Source organism: Homo sapiens, chromosome 10, assembly GCF_000001405.40.
Source record: "Homo sapiens chromosome 10, GRCh38.p14 Primary Assembly".
NCBI lineage: Eukaryota > Metazoa > Chordata > Mammalia > Primates > Hominidae > Homo > Homo sapiens.
Genome location: NC_000010.11, coordinates 74,398,902 through 74,414,865, shown reverse-complemented (window position 1 = coordinate 74,414,865; position 15,964 = coordinate 74,398,902). Strand labels below are relative to the sequence as shown.

Genomic DNA, 15,964 nt, shown 5'->3' with positions numbered 1-15,964 from the left:
TTTGGAGAAAGTCTTTCTGTATAAAAATCACAGTGTTACTCAAAAAAAACTGGTATTAGAATTTTATTTATTGAAGAAAACAAATTCTAGAGAAATTAAAAATAAACACAAATAGGATCTCTGTAATCACACTTTTCTTTCTTTTCTTTTTTTTTGAGATGGAGTCTCACTCTGTCACCTAGGCAGGAGTGCAACCTCTGCCTCCCAGGTTCAAGCCATTCTCCTGCCTCAGCTTCTCAAGTGCTGGGATTACAGGCATGCGCCACCACGCCCGGCTAATTTTTGTATTTTTAGTAGAGAGGGGGTTTCACCATGTTGGCCAGGCTGGTCTCCAACTCCTGACCTCAAGTGATCTGCCCACCTCGGCCTCCCAAAATGCTGGGATTACAGGCGTGAGCCACCACGTCCAGCCTATAATCACACTCTTGTTTGAAAATTTATCCAGCAAAAATCAAAGATTCTCCCTACTAAGGTGGAAGTAACAACAGTAAATAATTTGTGTAACTCACTGAACATCAATAACATATGGAAAATGAAAAACATTAGAAACTGAACTCTAACACTAATGGTAAGAAATAGCATAATTAAGTCTGTTTTGGTATAAGCATACCTTATTTTATTGCACTTCACAGATACCTTTTTATTATTTTTTTTTACAAATCGAAGGTTTATGGCAAGCCTGCCTTGAGTATGGTGTCATTATTTTCCAACAGAATGTGCTCGCTTGGATCTCTGTCATATTTTGGTAATTCTTTCAATATTTCAAACTTTTATATCTTTTATAGTGATCACTGATCTATGATATTATTATTGTAATTGTTTTGGGATGCCACAAACCACACCCATAGAAGATGGTGAACTTAACTGATAAATGCTGTGTTTTCACTGCTCTACCAGCTGGCCATTACCCCATCTCTCTACCTCTCCTAAGGCCTCCCTATTTCTTGAGACACAACAATAGTGACATTAGGCCAATTAATAATCCTACAGTGGTCTCTAAGTGTTCAAGTGAAAGGAGGAGTTGCATGTCTCTCACTTTAAGTCAAAAGCTAGAAATGATTGAGTTTAGTGAGGAAGGCATATCGAAAGGTGAGACAGGCTGAAAGTTTGACCTCTCACAACAAACAGGCAAGTTCTCAATGCAAAGAAAAAGTTCTTGAAGAAAATTAAAAGTGCTACTCCAGTGAACGCATGAATAAGAGAGTGAAATAAGCTTATTGCTGACATGGAGAAAGTTTTACTGGTCTGTATAGAACATCAAACCAGCATAGCATTCTCTTAGGTCAAAGCTTAATCCCGAGCACAACCTTAACTCTTTTCAATTCTGTTAAAGCTGAGAGGTGAGGATGCTGTGCAAGAAAAGTCTGAAGCTAAGAGAGGCTAATTTGTGAGGTTGAAAGAAAGAAGCAATCTCCATATCATAAAAGTGCAAGGTAAAATAGCAGGTGCTGAAGAGTTACCCAGATCTTGCCAACATCATTGATGAAGGTGGCTGCACTGAACAACAGGTTTTCAACATAGACAAAAGAGTCTTCTACTGGCAGAAGATGCTATTGAAGACTTTTACAGCTAAAAAGAAGTAAATGCTTGGCTTCGAAGCTTCAAAGGATAGGACGACTCTTTTTTTTTTAGGGGCTAATGCAGCTGGTGACTTTCAGTTGAAGTCAATGCTCATTTACCATTCTAAAAATCCTAGAGCCCTTAAGAGTTATGTTAAATCTGCTCTGCCTGTGTTCTATAAATGAAATAACAAAGCCTGGATGAACACATACCTGTTTGAGTATGGTATGCTGAATTTTTTTTTTTTTGGGGACAGTTTCACTCTTGTCACCCAGGCTGGAGTGCAATGGCGCAATCTTGGCTCACCGCAACCTCCGCCTCCAGGGTTCAAGCAATTCTCCTGCTTCAGCCTCCTGAGTAGCTGGGATTACAGGTGTGCACCACCATGCCCAGCTCATTTTTGTATTATTAGTAGAGATGTGGTTTCACCATGTCGACCAGGCTGGTCTCGAATTCCTGACCTCAGGTGATCCTCCCGCCTTGGCCTCCTAAAGTGCTGGGATTACAGGCATAAGCCACTGTGCCCAGCTGGTATACTGAATATTTTAAGCCCACTGTTGAGATCTACTGCTCAGAAAAAAAGATTCCCTTTAAAATATTACTGCTCATTAACAATGCATCTGGTAACCCAAGGGCTCTGATGGAGACGTATAAGAAGATGAATGTTGTTTTCACGGCTGCTAAAACAACATTCATTCTGCAGCCCATGGATCAATGAGTAATTTTGACTTTCAAATCTTATTTAAGTAATATATTTCATAAGGCTATAGCTGCCATAGTGACTCATCTGATGGGTTTGGGCAGAGTAAATTGAAAACCTCCTGAAAATAATTCATCATTCCAGTTGTCATTAAGAACATTCATGGGCTGGGCATGGTGGCTCACACCTGCAATCCCAGCGCTTTGGGAGGCCGCAGTGGGAGGATCACTTAAGCCCAGCAGTTCGAGACCAGCCTGGCCAATATGGTGAGACCTCGTCTCTACAAAAATAAAATAAATGATGAGGTGGGAGGATTGCTTGAGCTTGCCTGGGAGATTGAGACTGCAATGTGCAGTGATTGTTACTGCACTTCCCTGCCTGAGTGACAGGAGTAAAACCCTGTTTAAAAAAAAAAGAACATTCACGATTCATGTGAGGTGGTCAAAATATTAACATTAATAGGAGTTTGGAATAAGTGGATTCCAACCCTCATGGATGACTTTGAGGGCTTCAAGACTTCAGTGGAAGAAGTCAATGCACATGTGATGGAAATAGCAAGAGAACTAGTATTAGAAGTGAAGCCTGAAGATAGGACTGAATTGCTGCAATCACATGATAAAACTTGAATGGATGAGAAATTGCTTCTTATAGATGAACACAGAGAGTGGTTTCTTGACATGGAATCTACTCCTGGTGAACACGCTATGAATGCTGTTGAAATGACAACGAAAAATTCAGAATACTGCATAAACATAACTGTTAAAGCAACAACAGAGTTAGAGAGGGCTGACTCCAATTTCAAAGAAGTTCTACTGTAGGTAAATGCTATCAAACAACATTGTATGCTACAGAGAAATCTTTTATGAAAGAAGAGTCAATTGATGTGGCAAACTTCATTGCTGTCTTATTTTAAGAAATCGTCACAGCTACCCCAACCTTCAGAAGCCACCACTCTGAGCAGTCAGCAGCCATCAACACTGGTGCAAGACCCTCCAACAGCAAAAAGATTATTACTCGCTAAAGGCTCAGATGATCACTAGCATTTTTTAGCAACAAAGTATTTTTAATTAAAGTATGTTTATTTTTAAAGATGTAATGCTACCACACACTTGAGAGTACCATATAGTGTAAACATAACTTTTATATGAATTCAGAAACCAAAATATTCATGTGACTTGCTTTATTGTGATATTTGCTTTATTGTTAAGCAAAGATGTCTTTGCTTAACTCAAATGTTAACACAGTTTGGGCTTTACTTGAAGTGACTCTCAAATAAAATTATTAAACATGAATGAAAAAGATTCATATGTGTTAAGTGTCAGGAATTTTACACCAACATGAAAAGCTCCAAATAGAACAAACAACTCTACAGATTTTTTTTTCATTTTATTCTCTGTGTTTATAAATGAAACAGTTAAGGACACCTGCAAGGACATTGTAAAATAAAGGCTTAAACATTCATAGTTAATCCCTAATGAAGTTAATGAAGCAGTCCAGAATAGGATAGTTAAAAATTTGAGGCAAAAATGCAGGAATAAAGTCATATGGTGATCATCGATTTGACCAATATAATGGGAGTTCTAACACATACGAGTTCAAAACTGCACTTGGAACAATGATAAAAGGTGAGAAAAAGTTTAGCTATCCCACCTCTTTAATAATCACAGAAGAATATTATAAATTAATAAATTCCAAAAATACTTTGAACTCTATTTAATGCTATATATAAAGAGCTGTGACATTATTTAATCAACTGTCATTCACAGACTAGCTTAAATTATAAAAAAAAATCATTAGTTCACTTACTCTGCCAAAGTGTACTTATTGTAACAGTATAGATTATGTTACAAAGGCTTGTTCCATGGTCGAATAAGGTTTAAAGCTATCACTTTAAGTAAGTTTTTGTTTGTTTGTTTGTTTGTTTTCAGACAGAGTCTCACTCTGTCAGCCAGGCTGGAGTGTAGTGGCGCGATCTTGGCTCACCGCAACCTCTGCCTCCTGGGTTTGAGCGATTCTCCTACCTCAGCCTCCCCAGCAGCTGGGACTAAGGAATGCACCACCATGATTGGCTAATTTTTGTATTTTTAGTAGAGATGGTCTGGTCTCTACCAAAAATTTTGGCCAGGCTGGTCTCAAACTCTTGATCTTAGGTGATCCACCCACTTCAGCCTCCCGAAGGGCTGGAATTTCAGGCTTGAGCCACTGTGCCTGGCCTAAATAATACTTACCTTTTTTAAAAAAAAATTACTTCAATTTCCATTAGGTTACCATTACAAAACAACTTAATTCACTTTCACTGAAACTTTCTCAAATCTTTTCATGACAGAGCAAAGAATACTAGATGGCACGTTCTAAATTCTGAGCATGAAATTTTGAGCAATCTTTTTAAATTTCTAGTCACGTTTTAGTGTAACCATGTCTTTTGGTAAATACTGCCAAAAGATAACCAAATCCTAAAAAAATAGAAATTATTTATTTAATTATAAATTCATTCTAACTTGTTAATTCAATGGACACAAACCACATTACTGACACGTAAAATTTCAAACATATGATTTCTTAGATGAGATTTCTTATAATTTATCACACTACCTCATTTTAAGGGCTTTATTGCTTTTAGATTACTGATAAAGATATTTAATTGTAACTGAGTATAAATGAAAGTTTTACTAAGAAAAATTGTTACTCATGGCATAGGTATGAAAAACCTATAGGGCAAACAAAGCAGGAGATGTAAAATGTAAACATTTGGTAGTGATTCTTACTTGCCTTTAATATACATATACTTCTGTTTCTTTGTAAGTATGAATTCTATTGCTTACCACCAAGGCTGTACATTTCTTCATACCATGTTTCTTCTACTGACCTATAATCATACTTCCCTTATTCCAGAAGCAAACATTAGTGACATTTGAAAACTCTACCCTCACAAAAACCACATTCTCCAAAGTAGTAAAATTCTAGACCGAAAACAGATATAAGTGGTCAAGACAGAGTTATAAATAAATGAAGAGAGGAAAAGAGAAGACCTGTAATAAGACATAGGAACTGAAAAAATAATTTAAAAAAGAAAATAGGCATGAGTGCTAAAGGAAAACTCACCACAAGTCTCATACTCTCACAAAATTATTGACAAGATATGACTTATTATTCTTTCACTTATAGTGTTTAATTTCTAATCCATGAAACAGGGTACAAATTTGGCTGACCTTGTTTACGCAGGGTAAGTCACAAGGTACTGAAAGTTTGTTAAAATCTATTTCTTAAAAATCTTTTTAATACCTAAAGTTTAAAAATTTCCCCATAATAAGCCTAAACTTGCATGGTGATTAGTTCTTCACAGTGTTATTTCAAACTTGGAACCTTTTTTCCTATCATAAAGAGATGTTATTTGAAATAACGCATAGATTTCTAAACAAAATCCTACTGTACTCACAATGTAATCCAAACACTATGCAGAGGTGACTAAGAAATTACAAAAAATTACAAAACTAGTAATTACACATAGATGAACAACTATATCTTAGCTGAGAGCTTTCACATTTATTTTTAAGCGATAAAATGGTATCTAGAACATTTTATAGAATCTAGAATAATATTTGAGGGAATTTTGACACTAAATCAACCTGAAGATGAATTTAAGATTACAACTGATACTATAACAATATGAATTTGAACTGTGCAGGTCAACCTATACATAGATTTTCTTCTGCCTCTGCCAACCTCTGAGACATGAAGGCCAACCACTCCTCCTCTTCTTCCCCTCCTCAGCCCACTCAACATGAAGATGACTAAGATAAAGACCTTTATGATGATCCATTTCCACTTAATGAATAATAATATATTTTCATTCCATATGATATTATAGCATTTTTTCTTTAGCTTAATTTATTGTAAGAATACAGAATATAATACATATACAAAATACGTGTTAATCAACTATTTACGTTATCAGTAAGGCTTCCAATTAACTACTATTAGTAGTTAAGTTTTTGAGGAGGTAAACATTGTATGTGGATTTTCGAAGGGGTCAGTGCCCAGAACCCTCACATTGTTCAAGGTTCTACTGTACTTTCTCACCACAACTTGGAATTTCTGCTTTTACTCTAATATTCCCCATAACACATTTATCAGTGATGGTTATGATCATTTTCTGACACTCCAATAGGTCAAGTAAAGGAGAAACAATATTTGGGGACAAGAAAGTTAACTGGGAATGAAATCTACAGTTTAAAATGAATACATTGTTCGAGGAAAACTCAATACAGAATTCGCATAGAGATAAATCATAGTTATTATCAAATTCAAATTCAGGCTGGGGGCAGTGGCTCATGCCTGTAATACCAGCACATTGGGAGTCCAAGGCGGGTGGATCACTTGAGGTCAGGAGTTCAAGACCAGCCTAGCCAAAATGGTGAAACCTCATCTCAACTAAAAAAAAAAAAAAAAAATACAAAACTCAGCCAGGCATGGTGGTAGGTGCCTATAATCCCAGCTACTGGGTAGACTGACGCAGGAGAATCGTTCAAACCCAGGAGATGGAGGTTGCAGTGAGCCGAGATTGTGTCACTGCACTCCAGCCTGGGCAACAGACTGAGACTCAAATTCAAATAAAAAAATTAGGCATTCTTGAAAAAAAAAGCGAGTTACCTGAAAAAGGGAAAAACCAAAATCAACCTAGAGATTTGCACTTCCAGCCACTATGAAGGACCAGGGAGCAGATTTATATTCCCATCTTAAACAACTAACAATGAACAAAATACATGAAAACACAATTTTCAGGCATTGGATAATAATCAAAGAAGGGGCAGAATAAGGTAAGCGCTACAATTACTCAAACTTACACCTTGAATAGAGTTCCCAGGCTGCAGAGCGGGAAGGAAGAACCTAAATAGAGTCAAGTAGTTTCCATTCAGGGAGGCCAAGCTGGCTACCACATGCTGGGGCAGAGTACTGGAGAGGACAGAGCTGCTTGGAGAAGAAAGAGGTGGAAAGTGAGAACTCGAGATATGCAAGGGATTCCTTTGGAGTCTTCAGTACACATGTATGAGGAAACAATGAATACCCAGGTAATCAGGAAAAACCAATACCAAGGTAATCAGATTAAAAAAAAGTGACAGAATTAGTAGACATGAATATTAAAACAATTGTTATAACAACATTCCGAAAGCACATGACAACATAAGCATACTATGTAGAGATATGGCATGAGTAAAAGAGGTCCAAATCAAAGTTCAAGAGATGAAAACTATAATGTCAGAGATAAAATGTCAACTGGATGAGATTAATGGCAGATTAAACATTGTAGATGAAATAATTAGTAAACTTCAGAGTAATAGAAATTATTCAATGCTGGACATGGCGGCTCATGCCTGCAATCCCAGCAATTTGGGAGGTCGAGACAGGCAGATAAGTTGAGTTCAGGAGTTTGAGACCAGCCTGAGCAACACAGCAAAACCTGTCTCTAGAGAAAATACAAAAACTAGCCAGGCATGGTGGTGCACTCCTGCAGTTCCAGTTACTTGGGAGGCTGAGGTGGGGGTTGCATTGACCCAATATTGTGCCACTGCACTCCAGCTTGGGCGACGGAACGAGAACTTGTCTGAAAAAAAAAAAAAAAAGAAAGAGGCCAGGCACAGTGGCCCACGCCTGTAATCCCAGCACTTTGGGAGGCCGAGGCAAGCAGATCATGAGGTCAGGAGTTCAGGACCAGCCGAAACAATATGGTGAAAACCCACCTCTACTAAAAATACAAAAATTAGCCGGGTGTGGTGAGGCGTGCCTGTAGTCCCAGCTACTCAGGAGGCTGAGGCAGGAGAATCACTTGAACCCAGGAGGCGGGGGTTGCAGTGAGCCAAGATTGCACCACTGCACTCCAGCCTGGGTGACAGAGCAAGACTCCATCTCAAAAAATAAAAATAAAAATAAAAAAGAAAAGACAAAATAGGGGAGAGAGTAATTATTCAAAATGAAGAACAGATAGAAAAACAAAAATATTGAAAACAGAATCACTGAGACATGGGTCAACTACAAGTGGCTTCTTCTTCTTCTTCTTCTTCTTCTTCTTCTTCTTCTTCTTATTATTATTATTATTATTATTTTAATCGGAGTCCCAAAGGTAGATGGAGGTGGAAAGAGAAAACTTATTGTTAAATAATTTCCAAAGTGAATGAAACTATAAAAAACCCCAACCACACAAAATATAAAACTATGCCAAGGTACATCATAATAAAATTGTTTAAAATCAGTGATAAACATCTTAAAAGCAGATAAAGGAGGTTAAAAGACATATTAGGTAAGAGGGAACAATGATAGGAATGGCAGCAGGCTTCCTTTCAAAAACAATGCAAAGCAGAAGACAGTAGAGGAACAGAAACTAGATTTACTCCCTATCATGAAACAACAATAGCAAAACTAGAAACAATGGTTTTTAATACACTGGACATCAAGAATAAAAAATACGTATCTCTGAGAGATGGGAAACAATGGAGGTCAGCCATATGACTACAGCAGTTTATTGCAAGAGTTTCCAGAATATGGTATAAGGAGAACTGTAGTAGATGCCAGTGAGTTGAGGAAATACAACTGAGAGTCTGGGAATTTCAGAGCAGTTAAGAGTTGAAAGACCACAATATCAGAGAACAGAAAGATTTACAGAGAAACCTGGAATTCTGTAGAGGGTCTTTTCTTAAGGTCAGTACCTGGGAAAGAAACATCCAAAAGTATTAAGAGGAAAAAAAAATAGAAGGAACAGTACCTGAGGCACATACACATTTGGAAATAGTGGCTGTTTCAAAGACCTAGAGCAGAAAAACTCATCATTTTTTTCATCAAAGTCTCCAACGTTTTTGGCACCAGGGACTAGTTTTGTGGAAGACAATTTTTCCACGGACGGGTAGGAGGCGTGGTTTCAGGATGAAACTGTTGCACCTCAGATCATCAGGCATTAGTTAGATTCTCATAAGACGTATACAACCTAGATCCCTCGCTTGTGCAGTTCAAAATAGGATTTGCACCCCTATAAGAATCCTCTGCTGGGTGCAGCACACCAACATGGCACATGTATACATATGTAACAAACCTGCATGTTGTGCACGTGTACCCTAAAACTTAAAGTATAATAATAAAATCTAAAAAAAAAGAATGGGAAAGGTTTCATTAAGAGTCCAGAGTGTATAGCTATACATTAATCTAAACTGAATAAAATTAGATTTTTCACATTTGAAAAAAAAAAAAAAAGAATCCTCCGCTGATGTGACAGGAGGTGGAGCTCAGGTGGTAATGCTTGGTGGCCTGCTACTCACCTCCTGCTGTGTGGCCTGGTTCCTAACAGGAACTGATATAGTTGCAGTACCAGAGATTAGGGACCCCTTAGTGCTCTGTGCCATGGAGTACTAAGAAAAGTCTTCCCCCAGTAGTAAGAAATATTTAGCTTTATTTATTTGATGAGATTAATAACAGTTCAGGTATTACAGAAGAAAATATTAGTGAAATGGAAGGCACAGCAAAGGAGGTATCCAAAATAAAACATAGAGAAAGAAACAAAATAAAAAAAGAGTGTCAGTGAGCTATGAGACAACTTCAAGTGGCATAAAAGGGTCAGAAAACCAATTTGAAGATGTATAATGGCTGCAAATATTCCAAACATAATAAAAACTAAAAACCGATAGCTCTAAGAAGTTAAACAAAACCCAAGCACAAGAAACATGAAGAAGAATACACTAAGGCCCATCATAACTAAACTGATCAAAATGAGTAATTTTCTCTGTGTGTATTTTTTGTAAGGATGGGGTCTCACTATGTTGCCTAGGCTAATCTTGATCTCCATGCCTCAAAAGCCATCCTCCCATCTTGACCTCCCAAAGCACTGGGATTACAGGTGTGAGCCACCGCACCTGGTCTCATATGAAAAATCTTAAAAGCAGCAAAATTTGGGGAATGGGGGTTGTGAAACATTGAAGAACAAAAGAATGTCAGATTTCTTATCAAGAACTATGCAAGTAAGATGGCAATGGGGTAACATTTTTCATGTACTGAAAAACTGTCAAACTAGAACTATATATCTGGCACAAATGTCTTTCAAAAATGAAGGTGAAATAAAGATGTTTTCAAACATACAAAAGCTGAAAGAATTTATTACTGACAGATCCAAATACAAGAGATGTTAAAGAATGCCCTCTAGGCAGAAGGAAAATGATACCAGATGGAAATCTAATTCTAACCAAAAGGAATAAAGAGAACTAGAAATGATAAATACCTGAGTAAAAATATGAATTTTTTCTTATTAAGTCTTTTAAAATATATATTTGACAATTTAAACAAAAATAGCAGCAAGGTTACGATGTTTATAATATATATGTAGAAGTAAAATGTATGTATTGTAAGTTGTGAGACATATATTAACAAAGCTGATTAAAAAAAAAAAAAACAATTAGGCTGGGTGTGGTGGCTCATGCCTGTAATCCCAGAACTTTGGGAGGCCAAAGCGTGTGGATCATGAGGTCAGGAGATCGAGACCATCCTGGCTAACATGGTGAAACCCCGTCTCTACTAAAAATACAAAAAATTAGCCGGGCATGGTGGCAGGCACGTGCAGTCCCAGCTACTTGGGAGGCTAAGGCAAGGAGAATGGTGTGAACCCAGGAGGCGGAGGTTGCAGTGGGCAGAGATTGTGCCACTGCACTCCAGCCTGGATGACACAGCAAGACTCCATCTCAAAACAAAACAAAACAAAACAAAAAAAGGAATAGGAACAGCTCCATTCTACAGCTCCCAGCGTGAGTGATGCAGAAGACGGGTGATTTCTGCATTTCCAACTGAGGTACCAGGTTCATCTCACTGGGGCTTGTCGGACAGTGGATGCAGCCCACAGAGTGTGAGCCAAAGCAGGGCGGGGCATCGCTTCACCTGGGAAGCGCAAGGGGTTGGGGAATTCCATTTCCTAGCCAAGGGAAGCCATGACAGACGGTACCTGGAAAATCAGGACACTCTCACCCTAATACTGCGCTTTTCCAATGGCCTTAGCAAACGGCACACCAGGAGATTATATCCCACGCATGGCTCGGAGGGTCCCATGCCCATGGAACCTTGCTCACTGCTAGCACAGCAGTCCGCTATCAGATCAACTGCAGGGAAGCAGTGAGGCTGGGGGAGGGGTGCCCGCCATTGCTGAGGCTTGAGTAGGTAAACAAAGCGGCCAGGAAGCTCGAACTAGGTAGAGCCCACAGCAGCTCAAGGAGGCCTGCCTGCCTCTGTAGACTCCATCTCTGGGGGCAGGGCATAGCTGAATAAAAGGCAATAGAAACTTCTATAGATTTAAATGTCCCTGTCTGACAGCTTTGGAGAGAGTAGTGGTTCTCCCAGCACAAAGTTTGAGATCTGAGAATGGACAGACTGCCTCCTCAAGTGGGTCCCTGATCCCTGAGTAACCTAACTGGGAGATACCTCCCAGTAGGGGCCAACAGACACCTCATACAACTGGGCGCCCCTCTGAGACAAAGCTTCCAGAGGACGGATCAGGCAGCAACATTTGCTGTTCTGCAATATTTGGCAGCCTCTGCTGGTGATAGCCAGGCAAACAGGGTCTGGAGTGGACCTCCAGCAAACTCCAACAGACCTGCAGCTGAGGATCCTGACTATTAGAAGGAAAAGTAACAAACAGAAAGGACATCCACACCAAAACCCTATCTGTAGGTCACCATCATCAAAGACCAAAGTAGATAAAACCACAAAGATGGGGAGAAACCAGAGGAGAAAAGCTGACAATTCTAAAAATCAGAGCGTCTCTTCTCCTCCAAAGGAACACAGCTCCTCGCCAGCAATAGAACACAGCTGGATGGAGAATGACTTTGACGAGTTGAGAGAAGAAGGCTTCAAAAGATAGGTAATAACAAACTTCTCCGAGCTAAAGGAGGATGTTCGAACCCATCTAAAAGAAGCTAAAAACCTTCAAAAAAGATTAGACGACAGGCTAACTAGAATAAACAGCATGGATAAGACCTTAAATGACCTGATGGAGCTGAAAACCATGGCACGAGAACTACGTGACACATGCACAAGCTTCAGTAGCTGATTCGATCAAGTGGAAGAAAGGGTATCAGTGATTGAAGATCAAATGAATGAAATGAAGCAAGAAGAGTAGTTTAGAGAAAAAAAAAGAGTAAAAAGAAACGCACAAAGCCTCCAAGAAATATGGGACTATGTGAAAAGACCAAATCTACATCTGATTGGTATATCTGAAAGTGACAGGGAGAATGGAACCAAGTTGGAAAACACTCTGCAGGATATTATTCAGGAGAATGTCCCCAACCTAGCAAGGCAGGCCAACATTCAAATTTGGGAAATACAGAGAACACCACAAAGATACTCCTCGAGAAGAGCAACACCAAGACACATAATTGTCAGATTCACCAAAGTTGAAATGAAGGAAAAAATGTTAAGGGCAGCCAGAGAGAAAGGTTGGGTTACTCACAAAGGGAAGCCCATCAGAATAACAGCAGATCTCTCTGCAGACACTCTACAAGCCAAAAGAGAGTGGGGGCCAATATTCAACATTCTTAAAGAATAGAATTTTCAACCCAGAAATTCATATCGAGCCAAACTAAGCTTCATAAGTGAAGGAGAAATAAAATCCTTTACAGACAAGCAAATGCTGAGAGATTTTGTCACCACCAGGCCTGCCTTACAAGAGCTCCTGAAGGAAGCACTAAACATGGAAAGAACAACGGGTACCAGCCACTGCAAAAACATGCTACATTGTAAAGACCATCAAGGCTAGGAAGAAACTGCATCAACTAACGAGCAAAATAACCAGCTAACATCATAATGACAGGATCAACTTCACACATAACAATATTAACCTTAAATGTAAATGGGCTAAACGCCCCAATTAAAAGACACAGACTGGCAAATTGGATAGAGTCAAGATCCATCAGTGTACTGTATTCAGGAGACCCATCTCACATGCAGAGACACACATAGGCTCAAAATAAAGGGATGGAGGAAGATCTACCAAGCAAATGGAAAACAAAAAAAAAAAGCAGGGGTTGCAATCCTAGTCTCTGATAAAACAGACTTTAAACCAACAAAGATCAAAAGAGATAAAGAAGGCCATTACATAATGGTAAAGGGATCAATGCAACAAGAAGAGCTAACTATCCTAAATATATATGCACCCAATACAGGAGCACCCAGATTCATAAAGCACCCAATACAGGAGCACCCAGATTCATAAAGCAAGTCCTTAGAGACCTACTTGTTGCCCAAGCTGGACTCGATCTCCTGACCAAAAGCAATCCACTGGCTTTGGCCTCCCAAAGCACTGGGACTACAGGCATAAACCACTATGCCAGGAAATATTATTTCTTAAGTGAGAAAAAACAGATATATCCCAATCTGATTCTAAGGTGAAGAGAACCTGAGACTTATGTTTTCAAAAACATAATTACCTAGTCACCATAGCCAGTAGTCCCTAATTACCTGCTAACAAAGAATCTGAGAAGCTGGTTTAAACATGGAAAAACTGAGTTTACGTGGCATAAAATGAGACATTTATTATGAAAGGTAAAAAATAAATTTTAAAAGATCTTGGCACTGTATTTAAACCAAAAGAGGATGCTGGTGTATCCATATTCAATTTTAGCTTTTCAGTCAGGAAGGTTTCCAGTGTGAACTTACTCAGTAAATTATATGGTGAAGAAAATGAAGAAGAAGGTTTGGAATTTTCTTAATATTCATGAAACACTGCTAGTTTGGAGAATAGTGTGAAGAAGCAGAGCTGAGTATGTAGATCTGGTTTAGCTTATGTGATGCAGACAGATGTTTTAGTTACGGATATTTGTTGAATAGATAAACTGCGTTGCTTCCTTAGATCAAAAACATTTTAGAATTAAAGAGCCCCCAGAACTTTAATTTCTTAAACCTCATTAGTTTATGATGATAATGTAATGAGACTGTTGACCTCATAGAACCAGAAAGTATGGGGCAGCCCACTTAATTTATGGTTTGACCATATGCTAAGAAAAAACTAGACTAGACTACACATCATTTCGGAATGCTCTGAAATCAAAGGGAATTACAGATTTGCAAAACCTGCAGTGTCTTTGTGGAAATAACATTGTATTTCAAAAGGAAGTTTACAGATTTCAATAAATACGAATTATGCTCTTAGTTATTCACCAAGTAAATATTTGTTGAATGTTCACTAAGAATATACAGCGTCCCAGGTATCCAATATGAGTCTACTATTTTCAGAACTATTTTGGAATAAGCCAAGCTAGGAGAAGAGTACAGATTTACCTGGCAATGTAAGAGATCATTCTTTTTATGAAACTGCTGAAACAGAAGCTACAAGCTAACACTTGTATCACAGATAACAACTGAAATCCATTTTGTTATTTCTTCTGGCTGAATACACCACCCAAATCTCAAAAATAATATCATTTGCCTTATTAATTTCACCAAAAGCTGATCACTTTATGCTGTACAAAATTGCACGTAAGTATAAATATTTAATACTACTGTAAAACTCCATTCACCCAAATATGGCTAGATACAATATAGTGCATAAATGCTAAAACTATGAGTTGTCTGCAAGTTGAATCTACACTTTCATAAAAGTTCCATTCACCCAAAGTTGGCTAGACATGTTATACTGTATAATCATTACAACTATGAGTTGTTTGCAAGTTGGCTCACAATTCAGGATTGAACAACTATATATTGAAACATAGAAGACTGTAATTGTCAAGTTAAATATACTTTTTCATCAGAATACACTGTCTTATTTCATAGTCAACAAGTATATATAAATTATGCCAAATTCTAAACATGGTGCTTTTTGAAAATCAGACTTTCAAGTGTAAGATGGTTTGAAATAGTACATAAATCCCCTCTAAAGAATCACACTACAAGAAATACAGTATCAAGATTTGAAAAATGGAAAGAACATGAGACCAATTTGAGAAATAAAATGAAATGGAAATAATAAAGGGGTAAAATATTTAATTCTTGAAATGTTTTTCTCACATACTGGCAGAAAAGATAGCATAACTTTCCATTATATAATCTTCTCAATGTAAGCATTTATTTGACAGTTATAAAGGGATAGGATTTGGTATACAGAGGAATCAATAACAATGTTGTAAAGCCTAGAACAGTGCACACAAACATGCTGTAGGAGACATTAACATTAGACTGAAAGAAATAATTATATTTTCAATAAACATGTTCCTCCTAGTAGGGTAATCAATTTTTTACACATCTTACCAGCTATTTCACAGAGCTCAGGTAATGAAATGGCAGCAGCTGTTATACCAAAACCATATATTACATGCATACGAGATGCTTTTTTCATAGGTATCTACTTATTTGTGTAAAGCCACATTTAACACATATTAAATAAAAACAAGGTAATCATGGGGTGATTAATTCAGAATTTTTAGTACCATCCTATTTTAGAAATAAATTCTTAACCAATTATTTTTGTGTCAGAAGACTTAATAATTCAAATTACACCCTGCCCTTGTTCCCAGATTTAAGAGATTTGTCACGATCAATGTTTCTGAAATATTAAATTAAGAGGTGTCATGGTAATTACTATGGAATAAATAGCAATTAAGTTTTTTAAGCAATTCAGCTCAAACTATTTGCAGTGAATATTTATACTACTAATATTTTTCTGCACAATGCAAGTTGCCTACAAAT

The 15,964-nt window shown here is 37.8% G+C and overlaps 1 protein-coding gene across 15 annotated transcripts in view; it reads right to left on the bottom strand.

Annotated features, from left to right (window-relative positions):
• The window catches only part of ADK (adenosine kinase), a 558,070-nt gene that overhangs the window by 294,425 nt on the left and 247,681 nt on the right, over positions 1-15,964 (bottom strand). The window lies entirely within an intron of this gene.